This window comes from Homo sapiens, chromosome 22, assembly GCF_000001405.40.
Source record: "Homo sapiens chromosome 22, GRCh38.p14 Primary Assembly".
Taxonomy (NCBI): domain Eukaryota; kingdom Metazoa; phylum Chordata; class Mammalia; order Primates; family Hominidae; genus Homo; species Homo sapiens.
Genome location: NC_000022.11, coordinates 31,510,112 through 31,527,157, shown reverse-complemented (window position 1 = coordinate 31,527,157; position 17,046 = coordinate 31,510,112). Strand labels below are relative to the sequence as shown.

At 43.7% G+C, this 17,046-nt stretch overlaps 1 protein-coding gene and 1 pseudogene across 5 annotated transcripts in view, besides 1 other annotated feature; one reads left to right on the top strand and one right to left on the bottom strand.

The window, feature by feature from the left end:
• SFI1 (SFI1 centrin binding protein) overlaps positions 1 to 17,046 on the bottom strand; it is a 122,450-nt gene that overhangs the window by 91,431 nt on the left and 13,973 nt on the right. The gene's annotated exons all lie outside the window — the stretch shown is intronic.
• Positions 723 to 932: an enhancer, noted in NCBI's record as "active region_18861". NCBI's record gives its function as "activates an Ori minimal core promoter by ATAC-STARR-seq in GM12878 lymphoblastoid cells {active_cell/tissue: GM12878}" and the evidence as "EXISTENCE:reporter gene assay evidence [ECO:0000049][PMID:35858748]".
• On the top strand, positions 5,465 to 6,035 carry H2AZP6 (H2A.Z histone pseudogene 6; annotated as a pseudogene).

Here is a 17,046-nt window from a genome sequence, read left to right as displayed (position 1 = left end):
TGAGAGGCCGAGGCGGGAGGGTCACCTGAGGTCAGGAGTTTGAGACCAGCCTGGCCAACATGGCGAAATCCCGTCTCTATTAAAAATACAAAAGTCAGCCGGATGTGGTGGCGGGTGCCTGTAATCTCAGCTACTTGGGAGGCTGAGGCAGGAGAATCGCTTGAACCCGGGAGGCGGAGGTTGCGGTGAGCCATGCCATTGCACTCCATCCAGCCTGGGCGACAGGACAGGACAAGACAGGACAGGAAGAAAGAAAAAAATAAAATTCCCTGATAGTTCCAACGTAGGTATTGATGGCCAGGCACGGTAGCTCAAGCCTGTAATTCCAGCATTTTGAGAGGCTGAGGCAGGCGGATCACCTGAGGTTAGGAATTTGAGACCAGCTTGGACAACATGGTGAAACCCCGTCTCTACTAAAAATACAAAATACAAAAATTAGCCGGGTGTGGTGGCACACGCCTGTAGTCCCAGCTACTCAGGAGGCTGGGGCACGAGAATCACTTGAACCCAGGGGGCAGAGGCTGCAGTGAACTGAATGCACTCCAGCCTGGGCGACAAAGTGACACTCTTGTCTCAACAACAACAACAAAACATAGGTATTGATATGGTTTAGCTGTGCCCCCACCCAAATCGCATCTGCAATTGTAGCTCCCATAATCCCCACGTGTCATGGGAGGGACCTCATGGAAGGTGATTAGATTATGGTGGTAGTTCCCCCATGCTGTTCTCATGATAGTGAGTAAGTTTCCACGAGATCTGATGGTTTTATATGGGGCTTTCCCCCACTTCACCCTGCACTTTCTTTCCTGCCGCCATGTGAAAAAGGACGTGTTTGCTTCCCCTTCCACCATGATTGTAAGTTTCTTGAGGCCTCTCTAGAAATGCAGAACTATGAGTCAATTAAACCTCCTTCCTTTATAAATTACTTATCTCAGATATTTCTTCATAGCAGCATGAGAATGCTCTAATACAGGTATCATATTTGAGTATGGTACTGTTCAGTGCTTTGCTTCTATAAGATTATCTAGTACTACTCCCAAAAAATAAAACTTAAATCTAATTAAGTCTCTAAATCCAGTTACCAATTTGCAGAAAAAGGTTGAGAACAGAGGACAGAAGAACATGCTAAAATGCACACAGGCCCTATAAAAATACCAGTGACATTCTTCACATAAATAGGAAAAACATCTTAAAAATTGTATAGGACCACAAAAGATCCCAAATAGCCAAAGTGATCCTCAGCAAAAAGAACAAAGCTGGAGGCATCACACCACCAGACTTCAAAATAAACCACAAAGCTGTAGTAACCAAAACAGCATGGTACTGGCATAAAAACAGACACATAGGCCAATGGAACAGAACAGAGAGTATCAAGTTATTAAGCTACTTTATCTATCTATCTATCTATCTATCTATCTATCTATCTATCTATCTATCTATGAATGACAGAGTCTCATTCTGTTGCCCCACTGGAATACAGTGATGCAATCACGGCTCACTGCATCCTTGACCTCCCAGATTCAGGTGATCTTCCCACCTCAGCCTCCTGAGGAGCTGCAACTACAAGTACATGCTACCACCTGGCTAATTTTTTGTAGAGATGGGGTTTTGCCACATGCGCAGGATGGTCTTGAACTCCCAGGCTCAAGTGATCCGCCTGTCCTGGTGTCCCAAAGTGCTGAGACTACAGGTGTGACCCATCGCACCCAGTGCCAATTTATTTTTGACAAAGGCTCCAAGAACATTGGGGAAAGGACACCCTCCTTAATAAATGGTGCTGGGAAAAGTGAGTATCTACATGCAGAAAAATGAAACTAGACTCCCCACCTCTCACCCTATACAAATATCAACTCAAAATGGATCAAAGACCTAAATGTAAGATCCAAAACTAGAAAGCTACGAGAAGAAATACTTCAAACGTCTAGGAAAAGATTTTATGAATAAAACATCAAAAGCACAGGCAACAAAAGCAAAAGTAAACAAAATGGGATAATCTCAAAAACTTCTGCTCAGCAAAGGAAACAATCAACAGAGTAAAAAGACAACCTATAGAATGAGATTACAGGCTGGGCGTGGTGGCTCATGCCTGTAATCCCAGCAGTTTCGGAGGCCAAGGCAGTCAGATCACTTGAGGTCAGGAGTTCAAGACCAGCCTGGCCAACATGGTGAAACCCCATCTCTACTAAAAATACAAAATTAGCTGGGCGTGGTGGCATGCACCTGTAATCCCAGTTACTCGGGAGGCTGAGGCAGGAGAATCGCTTGAACCTGGGAGGTGGTGGTTGCAGTGAGCCAAATTTGTACCACTGCACTCCTGACTGGGTGACAGAGTAAGACTCCATAAAAAAAAATGGGATTACAAATATTATAAAAAATATGTGCAAACTATCTGACAGAGGATTAATATGCAGAATATACAAAGAACTCAAACATCTCAACAGCAAAAAAAAAAAAAAAAATCCAATTAAAAAAGGGGCAACTTTGGGAAGCTGAGACAGGCAGATGGCTTCGGTCCAGGAATTTAACACCAGCCTGGGCAACACGGCAAAATCCTGTCTCTACAAAAAATTGGCCAAGCATGGTGGTGTGTGCTTGTAGTCCCAGCTACTCCGGAGGCTGATCTGAGAGGATAGCTTGAGCCTGGGAGGCAGAGGTTGCAGTGAGCTGAGATCCCACCACTGTACTCCAGCCTGGGTGACAGAGTGAGACCCTGTCTCAAAAAAAAAAAAGTGAGGGGAGCAAATTCTCTGAATAGACATTTCTCAAAAGAAGACATACAAATGGCTAACACATATACGAAGAAATGCTCAACATCACTATCAGGAAAATGCAAATGAAAACCACAATGAGGTGTCATCTTACTTGTTAGGTGACTGTTGTCAAAAAGACCAAAAAACATAACAAATGCTGGCAAGGAAGCAGAGAAAAGGGAACACTTTTTATTTTTATTTTTTTTGAGATGGAATCTCACTCTGTCGCCCAGGCTGGAGTGCAATGGCGCCATCTCGGCTCACTGCAACCTCCGCCTCCTGGGTTCAAGCAATTCTTCTGCCTCAGTCTCCCAAGTAGGTGGGACTACAGGTGCACGCCACCAAGCCCGGCTAATTTTTGTATTATTAGTAGACACAGGGTTTCACCATATTGGCCAGGCTAGTCTCGAATCCCTGACCTGGAGTGCAATGGCACAATCTCAAAAAAAAAAAAAAAAAAAGTAGTCCTTGCCATGGTGTGCTATTGTTGCAACTTAGGTTTAATACAAAAATCACTTGCTTAATCTACAAGGAACACTTATAATTGCCAATTAAAGAGTAGAATAGTAGAAATATATCAAGATTTGGAGTAAAAAAAAACACCCTGATTCCACAGATTTGAAGTTTATGGCAAATCACTTGATTTTTTCCTACCCTCAGTATCCTCCCCTGTAGATGGAGATAATATTGTTTGGGGTTGTGGGAATCAAAGGAGATAATGGACTTCACAGATTTGAAGTTTATGGCAAATCACTTGATTTTTCCTACCCTCAGTATCCTCCCCTGTAAATGGAAATAACATTGCTTGGGGTTGTGGGAATCAAAAGAGATAACGGACTTCACACTCTAAAGACAAACTGTTTACTATTCAGATACCTGAATTTCTAAGGTGTGATGATAGACTGGCTTATTCTTCAGGCTCAACTTCATAAAATAAATTTATGGAACCACAATACATATATTTAATTGTGTTAACTTGGAAATTAAAACTGGATTTTTTCCTCCTGATTTGGGAAAGTGGTTTCTAATTTCTAAAACATAACATCATCAGTTTATACATTTACACTGAAGGTGGGTGAGACTCTGGCCAAATACTGGTCATTTGTAAATGGCCCTCCTTAACAAGACAATCTGTACAGGAAATTACATTATAAAAAGAAAATATCATTGTATTTACTGGCAGTAGAAGGAATGTGAAGGAGAAAATAATTATCTATTACTACAATGAGATATGTATCCTATGGCCTGAATTTTCTGCTTTAAAAATATTTATTTTCTTATTATAAAAGCAATACAGCATATGTCCACAGAAAAACTTGTACACAATGTTCACAGCAGCATAATTCACAATAGCCAAAAGGTGGAAACAACCCAGATGTTCATAAACTGATAATGGATTTAAAAAATGGCGTACAGTTCACAATGGAATATTATAGAGCTATAAAAAGGAATAAGGCCGGGTGCTGTGGCTCACACCTGTAATCCCAGCACTTTGGGAGTCCCAGGCGGGTGGATCACAAGGTCAAAAGATCAAGACCATCCTGGCCAACATGGTGAAACCCCGTCTCTACTAAAAATACAAAAATTAGCTGGGCATGGTGGCACACGCCTGTAGTCCTAGCTACTTGGGAGGCTGAGGCAAGAGAATCGCTTAAACACGGGAGGCAGAGGTTGCAGTGAGCTGACATCACACCACTGCACTCCAGCCTGGTGACAGAGCGAGACTCCATCTCAAAAGAAAAAAAGGAATAAAATTCTGATACAGAAACCTTGAAAACACTATGCTAACTGAAATAAGCCAGACACAAATGGAAAAATGTCGTATGATTCCACTTACATGAGGTACCTAGAACAAGCAAATTCTTAGAAACAGAAAAGTATAATAAAGGTTATAAAGGGTTAGGGTAGGAGGAATGAGGAGATACCATTTAATGAATACAGAATTTCCACATGGGATGATGAAAAGTTTTGGGTATGGATAGTGGTGATGGTTACACATTGTCAATGTACTTAATGGTACTAAATTGTACACTTAAAAACAGTTAAAATAGGCCAGGCGTGGTGGCTCACGCATGTAATCCTACCACTTTGGGAGGCTGAGGCAGGTGGATCAGGAGTTCGAGAGCAGCCTGGCCAACATGGTGAAACACTGTCTCTACCAAAAATACAAAAATTATCTGGGCATGGTGGCACGCGCCTGTAATCCCAGCTACCTGGGAGGCTGAGGCGGGAGAACAGCTTGAACCCGTGAGGTGGAGGTTGCAGTGAGCAGAGATTGTGCCACTGCACTCGAGCCTGGGCGACAGAGCAAAAGTCCATCTCAAAAAAAAAAAAAAAAAAAAAGGCCAGGTGTAGTGGCTCACACTTGTAATCCTAGCACTTTGGGAGGCCAAGGCAGGTGGATCCCTCGAGGCCAGGAGGTCAAGACCAGTCTGGCCAACATGATGAAACCCCGTCTCTACTAAAAATACAAAAAGTTAGCCAAGCATGGTGACGCATGCCTGCAGACCCAGCTACTTGGGAGGCTGAAGCACAAGCAGCACTTGAACCTAGGAGGTGGAGGTTACAGTGAGCCAAGATCACGCCACTGCCCTCCAGCCTGGGCAACACAGTGAGACTGTCTCAAAAAAAAAGAAAAAAAAAGGTTAAAATAAAATAGTAAGTTTTTTGTTATGTATACGTTACCACACACACACAAAACATAAACTCTCTGGGCAGTTTCAATCACCGTGCCATGAAGCAGTAGGTGGTAGGATCTCACTGTGTGTCTGACTAGCCCTTTCTCTGCCTTGTTTGAGCTTTGACAGAATTTGCAAGGGTGGCGTTAAGGCTGAGCAGGACACTGGAAAGGCCAGAACAAAGGTGGTTGTTTCCCGCTCACAGAGAGCCTCCTTACAGTTCCGGGTGGGCCATATTCATAGACAGACACCTCAAATGTAGGACGACCAGTCATGGATGTGTAGGGGCGTGACTGCCACTGTGAACAGTGCAGCCATCCTTGGATACCTCACTGCAGAGATACTTGAAGTGACATCAAAGGCACCAAAAGATTTAAAGGTAAAGCTATTACCCCTCATCATTTGCAACCTGCTATTAGTGAAGAAGAAGAATTGGACTCTCTCATCAAGGCTACAATTGCTGGTGATGGTGTCATTCCACACATTCGCAAGTCTCTGATTGGGAAGAAAGAACAACAGAAGACTATGTAAAGGATGCCTGTATTTCTTATTATCTCAGGTCTCTAATTAATCTAACAGCTCTAACAGTGTTGGTGATTCCAGGGGAATACAGGCATGCCCCATGACACCTGGCTAATTTTTAAAAATTTTTTTAGTAAAGACAAGGTCTCACTATGTTGCCCAGGCTGGTCTTGAACTCTACTTTTTTTTTTTTTTTTTTTTTTTTGAGACAGGGTCTGGCTCTGTTGCCCAGGCTGGAATGCAGTGGAACAATCACAAATTACACAGCCTTAGTCTCCCAGGCTCACGTGATCCTCCCACTTTAGACTCCTGAGCAGCTGGTACTACAGGCAAGCACTACCACACCTGGCTATTTTTTTTTTTTTTTTACTTTTTGTAGAGACGGGGTCTTACTATGTTGCTCAGGCTGGTCTCGAACTCCTGGACTCAAGGAATCCTCCCACCTCAACCTCCCAAAGTTCTGGGATTATAAGTGCCTGAGCCACCATGCCCAAATGGAAGTAGTGGATTTTGATTGAGATGACTATTTTTTTAGATACTCCCTGGATTTTAATTATGATGCAGAAGTTATATCAACAAACATTTGGTTTTGTACATATATTACTTTCCCTCTGGCAATAGAAGTCATACCCCAAACTAAAACAAAAAACAAAAAACCAACCCTCCGTGAGTATTAGAAAAGCCATTGAATTGCACACTTGAAATGAATGAATTGTGTAGTATGTGAATTATATCTCAATGAATTTTAAAAATAAAAAAGCAATATAGAACCATTTTAGGAAATCTGAAAAATGTTGGTAACTATAATGAAAACAATGAAAGTAGCTTATAATCCTGCTCAAAAAACCCACAAGCAAAGCTAAACTATACAGTGTTTAAGGATACACAGTTGGGTAATAAAACCGTGAAGAAAAGTGAGAAAGTAATTACCATTCAAGTCAAGCTAGTAGTTTACTCTCTGAGGGGCAGTCAGTGGGTTTGGAAGGAAGTTCAGAAATGACTGCCAAGGTCTTATCTTTTTTTTTTTTTTTTTAAACAGGTGGTGATTACAAAGGTGTCTGCCATATAATAATTCGCTAGGGCACCCACTTGTTTCATGCCGTTTTCTGTATTTGTGTTATATTTATCAGTAAATAATTTTTGGCCAGGCACGGTGGCTCATGCCTGTAATCCCAGCACTTTGGGAGGCTGAGGCGGGTGGATCACTTGAGCCCAGGAGTTCAAGACCACCCTGGGCAACAGGTGAAACCCCATCTCTACCAAAAATACAAAAATTAGCCAGTGTCATAACCCAGTCTCAAAATTAATTAATTAAAAGTTTAAAATAAAAAAACTTTTGGCCAGGCAGTGACTCATGCCTATCATCCCAGCACTACAGGAGGCCAAGGTGGGTGGATTGCTTAAGGCTAGGAGTTGAGATCAGCTGGGCAACACAGAGAGACCCCATCTCTACAAAAAATTAAAAAATTAGGCCGGGTGCAGTGGCTCACGGCTGTAATCCCAGCACTTTGGAAAGCCAAGGCGGGTGGATCACCTGAAGTCAGGAGTTGGAGACCAGCCTGGCCAACATGGTGAAACCCTGTCTCTACTAAAAATACAAAAAATTAGCTGGGCGTGGTGGCACACGCCTGTAATCCCAGCTACTCGGGGGGCTGAGGCAGGAGAATTGCTTGAACCCACGAGGCAGATGTTGCAGTGAGCCAAGATCATGCCACTGCACTCCAGCCTGGGCGGGAGAGCAAGACTGTGTCTCGGAAAAAAAAAAAAAAATTAGCCAGATGTGATGATGCATGCCTCTACTCCCAGCTACATGGGAGACTGACATAGGAAGATCACTTGAACCCAGGAGTTCAAGGCTGCAGTGAGCTATGATCATGCCACTGCACACCAGCCTGAGCGACAGAGCAAGACCCTGTATCAAAAAAAAAAAAAAATGGAAAATAAAAGAAAAAATGATAGATGCATAGTTCGCTGGTTTTCAGTCTTAATTCCTTTATAATACATGCATTTAATGCTATACATTAAATGCATTAAACCCATCATACATTCCTCTAAGCATGACTGTAGTTGTATTTCATATATTGATATGTAGTATTTTTATGAGCATTACAACGTATTTGCTAACTTCCATTACGATTTTTTCTTCAATCTTTATGCAAAAGGATGCAAAGCAAATCAACAAAGGGAAGAGGGGCACAGGGCATAGTCTGGAAGAAATCAAGCGCAAGCTTCCAAGAATCCTCTCCCAGCGGAATCACAAAGGACACTCTTAATTCCTCCGGCAATGAATTGTGATAACACGTGAGAAGTGTTGTGTATCAATGAAGCTTATTAGAGACTCAGTACCCAAGTTTTTACTGAGGGCTGGTCAGACAGGTACCCTCTGCCTAACACATACCAAAATTCCAGACTCCTAGAGGGAGTGCTAGTATTCAGCATAAACAACATTGCATGAACACACAACAGTGTAGGTCCAGTTAACTATTCATCAGTTAGGGAATGGTGGGAACCCTTCTGAAATCTAAGTTTCCAGACACCAGCCAAGGGTCAGCCTTGTAAGCAGTTATTTTCTAAGAACAGCAGCCACAAAGGGACGACAAACATAACAGAGAAGATCAAAGAGAAAAGCTGGTTCCTTAAAAAGACTAATACAGTTGACAGCCAGTGAAACTGACCAGGAAGAGAGAAAACCAAATAAATGAGGGTCAACTCTATATTTCTATAAACTAGCAATAAGGAAAAAATAGTTATATATATTTATATACTATTTTCAAATGGCATCACAAATATCAAATATAGGAGTAAATCTAATAATTTTATAGGCAAAATGGAGAACTCAGTACAATACAGATGTCAGTTTTTCCCACTCTGATCTATAGATTCAAAGTAATCTCAATTAAAACCACAATAGAGGGCTGGGCACAGTGGCTTACACTTGTAAACCCAGTACTTTGGAAGGCCAAGGCGGGCAGATCACCTTGACTGAGGACAGGAGTTCAAGACCACCAGCCTGGCCAACATGGTGAAATGCCATCTCTACTAAAAATACAAAAAACAGCCAGGCGTGGTGGTGGGTGCCTGTAATCCCAGCTACTCTGGGGGCTGAGGCAGGAGAATGGCTTGAACCTGGGAGGCAGGCATTGCAGTGCGCCAAGATTGTGCCACTCCTGCTGGGCGACAGAGGAAGACTGTCTTAAAAAACAAACAAACAAAAAAACCAACAACAATAGATTCTATTTTGGGGAGGGAGAGGACTTCACAAGTTGATTCTGAAGCTTTCATAGAATTACAAAAGACCAAGAATAGCTTAGACATTCTTAAAAGTACTAGATAAGCAGTCTTACTTAGATATCAGGCTTATCGCAAGGCTACATATTCAAGACATCACGATTTTGTATAGCAGAAACAAATTGACCGAAGGAACAAGGTACATAGCCAAGAGACAGACTTGGCCTTAATGGACACTTGAGTAATGATTAAAATGGCACTATAGAGCAGTTTTTTCAATAAACTGTGCTAGGACAATTACATACCCATGTGAAAAAAAAAGAAATAGGGTCCCTAACTCACATGATCAACAAAAGTCAATTTCAGGAGGTCTGGACAATAAAATGTAAACAGCAAAATAATGAGTTCTTAAAGATGATACAGAATATCTTAGGCCAGGCATGGTGGCCCGCACCTGTAATCCCAGCACTTTGGGAGGCCAAGGCAGGCGAATTGCTTGAGCCGAAGAGTTTGACACCAGCTTGGGCAGTGCGATGAAAGCCCATCTCTACAAAAAATACAAAAATTCGCTGGGTGTGGTGGCACATGCCTGTAGTGCCATCTATTTGGGAGGCTGAGATGGGAGGACTCCTCAAGCCTGGGAGGTTGAGGCTGCAGTGACCCTGATTGTGCCACTGCAATCCAGCCAGTGTGACAGTGCGAGACCCTGTCTCCAAAAAACAAAAACCAGAATATCTTCATGACATCAGGGAAGAAATAGATTCCTTAAACCTGAGAGAACACATATTAATTATAAAGGAAAAGACACAAATTTTACTAAGTTAAATTTTTTTTTCTTTTTTTTTTGAGACAGAGTCTCACTCTGTCACCCAGGCTGGAGTATAGTGGCACCATCTCGGCTCACTGCAACCTCTGCCTCCTGGGTTCAAGTGATTCTCCCGCTTCAGCCTCCCAAGTAGCTGGGATTATAGGCATGCGACACCACATCTGGCTGATTTTATTTTTATTTATTTGTTTGTTTATTTGAGACTGAGTTTCGCTCTTGTTGCCCAGGCTGGAGTGCAATGGCGCAATCTCGGCTCACTGCAACCTCCGCCTCCCAGGTTCAAGCGATTCTCTCACCTCAGCCTCCCGAGTAGCTGGGATTACAGGCATGTGCCACCATGCCCGGCAAATTTTGTATTTTTAGTAGAGACGGGGTTTCTCCATGTTGGTCAGGCTGGTCTCGAACTCCCGACCTCAGGTGATCCGCCCACCTCAGCCTCCCGAAGTGCTGGGATTACAGGCATGAACCACCACTCCTGGCCTGACTTTTTAATTTTTAGTAGAGATGGGGTTTCGCCATGTTGGCCAGGCTGGTCTTGAACTCCTGACCTCAAATGATCTGCCTGCGTTGGCCTTCCAAAGTGCTGGGATTACAGGGGTTGAGCCACTGTGCCTGGCTTTCTTTTTTTTTTCTTTCTTTCTTTTTGAGAGTTTCACTCTGTTGCCCAGGCTGGAGTGCAGGGGTGCCATCTCAGCTCACTGTAACCCCCACCTCACAGGTTCAAGCAATTCTCCTGCCTCAGCCCCCCAAGTAGCTGGGACTACAGGCACACACCACAATACCCAGCTAATTTTTGTATTATTAGTAGAGACGGGGTTTTGCCATGTTGGTCAGGCTTGTCTCTAACTCCTGACCTCAAGTGATCCACCCTCCTTGGCCTCTCAAAGTGCTAGAATTCCAGACGTAAGCCACGGCACCCGGCTTAAAATTTAAAACATCTTAATTCATCAAATGATGAAGAGAGCAGAGGGAGAAGATATTTATCACACATAAAACATACAAAAGATTCATATTCAAAAACAGAAAACCTCCTATATATTAATTAGTACAAATACTCAATATACAACTCATGAGAAAAACAGGAATAAGACTTGAATATGTACTTCAAAAAGAGAAAATCCAGATACCCAATAAACACATAAAAAGGTACTAAGCCCCAGCACTTTGGGAGGCCAAGGCAGGTGGATCACGAGTTCAAGACCAGCCTGGCCAACATGGTGAAACTCCGTCTCTACTAATAATACAAAAATTAGCCAGACATGGTGGTGCGTGACTGTAGTTCCAGCTACTTGGGAGGCTGAGGCAGGAGAATTGCTTGAACCCAGGGGATGCAGGTTGCAGTGAGCCGAGATCACGCCACTGCACTCCAGCCTGGGCAACAGAGGGAGACGCCATCTCAAAAAAAGAAAAAAAAAAAAAAGGTACTAAGCCACAACAGGAATTCAGGAAATGAAAATAGGAATCACAATGAGGCTGGCACATGGCTCATGCCTATAATCCCAGTACTTTGGGAGGGTGAGGCAGGAGGATCACTTGAGCTCTGGAGTTCAAGACCAGCGTGGGCAACCAAGCAAGACCCTGTCTACACACACACACACACACACACACAGAGCCAGGCACAGTGATGCATATTTGTAGTCCCAGCTACTTGGGAGGCTGAGGAAGGAGGATTGCATGAGCTGGGAGGCTGAGGAAGGAGGATTGCATGAGCTGGCAGGTCGACGCTGCAGTGAGCCATGATCATGCCACTGTACTCCAGCCTGGGTAAAAGAATGAGATCCTGTCCCAAAAAAAAGAAAAAGAAAAAAGAAACACACACACACACACACACACGAACAATGAGACATACCTACCAGATTAGTATAGTGTTGGTAAGTCAATGAACATGTTCATACACTGCCAGCAAGAGTATAAACTGGTTCAAACAATTCAGAAAATCATTATCTAGCAAAATTGAAGATTCCCATAATCTTTGGTCCACAATCTATTCTGAGGTGGATACCATAGAACAGTGGTTATCAAAGTGTGATACCAAAGCCAACAGCATAACCATCACTTGGGAACTTACTAGAAATACAGATGGTTAGCCCGGCACAGTGGCTCACACCTGTAATCCCAGCACTTTGAGAGGCTGAGGTGGGCAATCATGAGGTCAAGAGATTGAGACCATCCTGGCCAACATGGTGAAACCCTGTCTCTACTAAAAATACAAAAATTAGCTGGGCATGGTGGCACACGCCTGTAGTCCCAACTACTCAAGAGGCTGAGGCAGAAGAATCGCTTGAATCCGGGAGGTAGAGGTTGCAGTGAGCTGAGATTGTGCCACTGCACTCCAGCCTGGCGACAGAGTGAGACTCCGTCTCAAAAAAAAAAAAAAAGGAAGAAATTCTGTCGTTTTCGACAACATGAATTTCGGAAATGGAGAACATTATATTAAGTGAAATACTCCAAACACACAAAGACAAATATGACCTGTTCTCACTTATATGTGGAATCTAAAATAATTGAATGCATAGAAACAGAGAGGAGAATGGTGGTTACCAAAGGCTAGGAGTAGGGAGAATTGGGAAGATGGTAATCAAAGGACACAAAGCCTCAGTTAAATAGGAGAAATACAGTTGATTTTTTTTTTTTTTTTTTTTTTTTGAGACAGAGTCTCACTCTGTCGCCCAGGCTGGAGTGTAGTGGAGCAATCTTGGCTCACTGCAAGCTCCACCTCCTAGGTCCACGCCATTCTCCTGCCTCAGCCTCCCAAGTAGCTGGGACTACAGGCGCCCGCCACCACGCCCAGCTAATTTTTTTTTGTATTTTTAGTAGAGACAGGGTTTCACCATGTTAGCCAGGATGGTCTCAATCTCCTGACCTCATGATCCGACTGCCTTGGCCTCCCAAAGTGCTGGGATTACAGGCATGAGCCACCGCACCCGGCCAGTTGATTTTTAATATCTATTGAACAGCATGGTGACTATAGCTAACAATTCAGTACTACATTTTTTTTTTTTTTTTTTTTTTTGAGATGGAGTTTCACTCCGTCACCCGGGCTGGAGTGCAGTGGCACAATCTCCAATCTCGGCTCACTGCAACCTCCAACTCCCAGATTCAAGTGATTCTCCTGCCTCAGCTTCCCGAGTAGCTGGAATTATAGTAGCATGCCACCATGCCAGACTAATTTTTGTATTTTTAGCAGAGACAGGGTCTTGCCATGTCAGCCAGGCTGGTCTCCAACTCCTGACCTCAGGTAATCCACCCGCCTCAGCCTCTGAAAGTGCTGGGATTGGCCGGGCCAGTGGCTCATGCCTGTAATCCCAGCACTTTGGGAGGCTGAGGTGGGCGGATCACGAGGTCAGGAGTTTGAGACCAGCCTGATCAACATGGTGAAACCCTGTCTCTACTAAAAATTCAAAAAAAATTAGCCAGGCATGGTGGTGTGCACCTGTAATCCCAGCTGCCCAGGAGGCTGAGGCAGGAGAATCGCTTGAACCCAGGAGACGGAGGTTGCAGTGAGCTGAGATCGCACCACTGCACTCCAGCCTGGGCGACAGAGCAAGACTCTGTCTAAAATAAAACAAAACAAAACAAAACAAAACAAAACGAAAAACCAAAGTGCTGGGATTGCCAGCACGAGTCACCACGCCCGAGTACTATATATTTCAGTATCCCTAAGAGAGTAAATCTCAAATCTTCTCATCACAAAAAATGTCAAGGCTGGGTGCAGCATCTAACGCCTGTAGTCTGAGCACTTTGGGAGGGGCAGATTGCTTGAGGCCAGGAGTTCAAGACCAGCCTAGGCAACGTGGTGAAACCCCATTTCTACAAAAAATACAAAAATTCACCAGACATGGTGGTGCATTACTGAAGTCCCAGCTACTTGGGGGTCTGAGGCATGAAGATTGCTTGATCCCAGGAGGCTGAGGCTGCAGTGAGCCATGATCACACCACTGCACTCCAGCCTGGGCAACAAAGCGAGACCCTGTCTCAAAAGAAAAAAAAAAGTCAAATACTTGAGGTGACAGATAAGTTAAACAGCTTGATTTCATCATTTTACATTGTATTAAAAAATCATAACATCAGCCGGGCATGGTGGCTGACGCCTGTAATCCCAGTCAGGAGCTTGAGACCAGCCTGGCCAACATGGTGAAACCCTATCTGTATTAAAAATACAAAAACTGGCTGGGCGCTGTGGCTCATGCCTGTAATCCCAGCACTTTGGGAGGCCAAGGCAGGCGGATCACAAGGTCAGAAGATCAAGACCATCCTGGCTAACATGGTGAAACCCCCTCTCTACTAAAAATACAAAAAATTAGCCGGGCGTGGTGGCAGGCGCCTGTAGTCCCAGGTACTTGGGAGGCTGAGGCAGGAGAATGGCATGAACCTGGGAGGCAGAGCTTGCACTGAGCCGAGATTGCGCCACTAAACTCCAGCCTGGGCAACAGAGCTAGACTCCGTCTCAAAAAAAAAAAATACAAATATTAGCTGGGTATGGTGGCGGGTGCCTGTAATCCCAGCTACTTGGGAGGCTGAGGCAGGAGAATTGTTTGAACCCCTGAGGTGGAGGTTGCAGTGAGCCAAGATTGTGCCATTGCAACTCCAGCCTGGGCGACAGGGCGAGACTCCGTCTCAAAAAAAAAAATAGTAATAATAAATAAATAATAACATCACTTTGTATCCTATAAATACATACAACTATAATTTGTCAATATATAAAAAAAGGAATTTAAAAACTGAAAACAGTCCAAATGCCCATCAGCAAAATAGATAAACTGAAATATTCTTACCATGTAATTTTTTTTTTTTTTTTGAGATGGAGTTTCGCTGTTATTGCCCTGGCTGGAGTGCAATGGCACAATCTCAGCTTACCGCAACCTCCGCCTCCCGGGTTCAAGCAATTCTTCTGCCTCAGCCTCCCCAATAGCTGGGATTACAGACATGTGCCACCACACCCGGCTAATTTTGTATTTTTAGTAGAGATGGGGTTTTACCATATTGGTCAGACTGGTCTCAAACTCCTGGCCTCAGATGATCTGCCCGCCTCGGCCTCCCAAAGTGTGGGGATTACAGTGCTGGGATTACAGGCGTGAGCCACTGCGCCGGCCAATAACCTATTTCTTTACCTGTGTTATGGTTACATTGTTTGTTTCAAAATGATATCTTAAACGATACATTTTCCCATACCTTTCTGAATCTGCAAATTTAACACCTAAGGCTGGGGCACGGTGACTCACACCTGTAATCCCAGCACTTTGGGAGGCCAAGACAGGCGGATCACTTGAGGCCAGGAGTTCAAGACCAGCCAGACCAACATGGCGAAGCTCCTTCTCTACTAATATAAAAAAATTACCTGGGCGTGGTGGCATGTACCTGTAATCCCAGTTACTCGGGAGATTAAGGCAGGAGAATCACTGAACCCGGGAGGCAGAGGCTTCAGTGAGCCAAGATCACGCCATTGCACTCCAGCCTGGGCAACAGAGCAAGACTCTGTCTCAAACAAACAAACAAAAAACTTAAAGGAAATACATTCCCTTCTTAGCCTCCCCAGCCTAAAGCAGCAGGGTATTTGAAGAAACCAGGCTGAGGCAGGAGAATTGCTTGAACTGGGAGGCAGAGGTTGCAGTGAGCGGAGATCGCGCCATGCACTCCAACCTGAGCGACAGAGCAGAACTCCATCTCAAAAAAAAAAAAAAAAAAAAAACAGAAACTATGCCAGAGTTAGAGGCCACAGAGCTTCATATTAAGGCCATCGTTAATTTGCTTGAGAAGATGAAATAAAGCAGGCCTAAAGAGTACTCTGCGGACCATGTAGTAAACACTGTCAGGGTGCTGGTTCAGCTTACGAGGACTCCTTCTATGAGAACGTCTATCAACAGGGGCAGGATCTCAGCAGCTATGCTTGAACTCAATGACCTTCCTCCAAGTCCTAGTTGATTACACTGGGGGAAAAAACTGACCCTTGCTGGATCAACCAAATTCATTCTCCCACGATGAAATTTTGAAGCACAAAGATGGCTCTGCTCAGGAAGAAGGGTCCATAATACCTGCTGAATAGGTCTCAAACAGTTCTCTCTCCCACTTTGCCCAAGACCCAGTGGATTCTATAAGAAACTTCTGTATATTCATAGCACCCTAAGTTGCAAGCTACAGGAACCCAATTCAAATTAGTTTAAGAAAAAAAAGAGCGTAACCATAAGGGTCCCTCATTAAAACTGACAAGTCTTTACCTAGATCAACCAATGAGAAAAGAGAGAAGACATGGATCACCAAAATTAGGTATGAAAGAGAGGACATTTACCACTGACCCTTCATAAATTAAAAGTATTATAAGGGCATACAATTAACTTTATGCCAACAAATTAGACAACATAAATGAAATGGAAAAATTTCTAGAAAAACTGAAATTACCAAAATTAACTCAGGAAGAAACACAGCTGGGCTCAGTGGCTCATGCCTGTAATCCCAGTACTTTGGGAGGCCGAGGTAGGTGGGTGATTTGAGGTCACGAGTTCAAGACAAGCCAGGCCAACATGGTAAAACCCCATCTCTAATAAAAATACAAAAATTAGCCAGGCGTGGTGGCATGCATCTGTAATCTCAGCTACTCGGGAGGCTGAGGCAGGAGAATTGCTTGAACCAGGGAGGCAGAGGTTGCAGTGAGCTGAGATCACACCACCGTACTCCAGTCTGGGTGACAAGAGTGAGACTCCATCTCAAAAAACAAACAAAAACAATAAATAGAAACCTAATAGATCTCTAACAAGTAAAAAAAATTAAATGAGTAATTAAAAATTTTCCTACAAAGAGGCCAGGCTTGGTAGCTCACACCTGTAATCCCAGCACTTTGGGAGGCTGAGGCAGCAAGATTGCCTGAGCCCAGGAGTTAGAAACTGCACTGAGCTGTGATCGTGCCACTGTACTCCAGCCCAGGCAACAGAGCAAGACCCTGTCTCTAAAATAAATAATTTTTCCTACAAAAAAAAGCACAGATAGTTTCAGTGATTAATTCTACCAAAGATTTAAAAAGAAATAATAGGCCGAGCACTATCGCTCA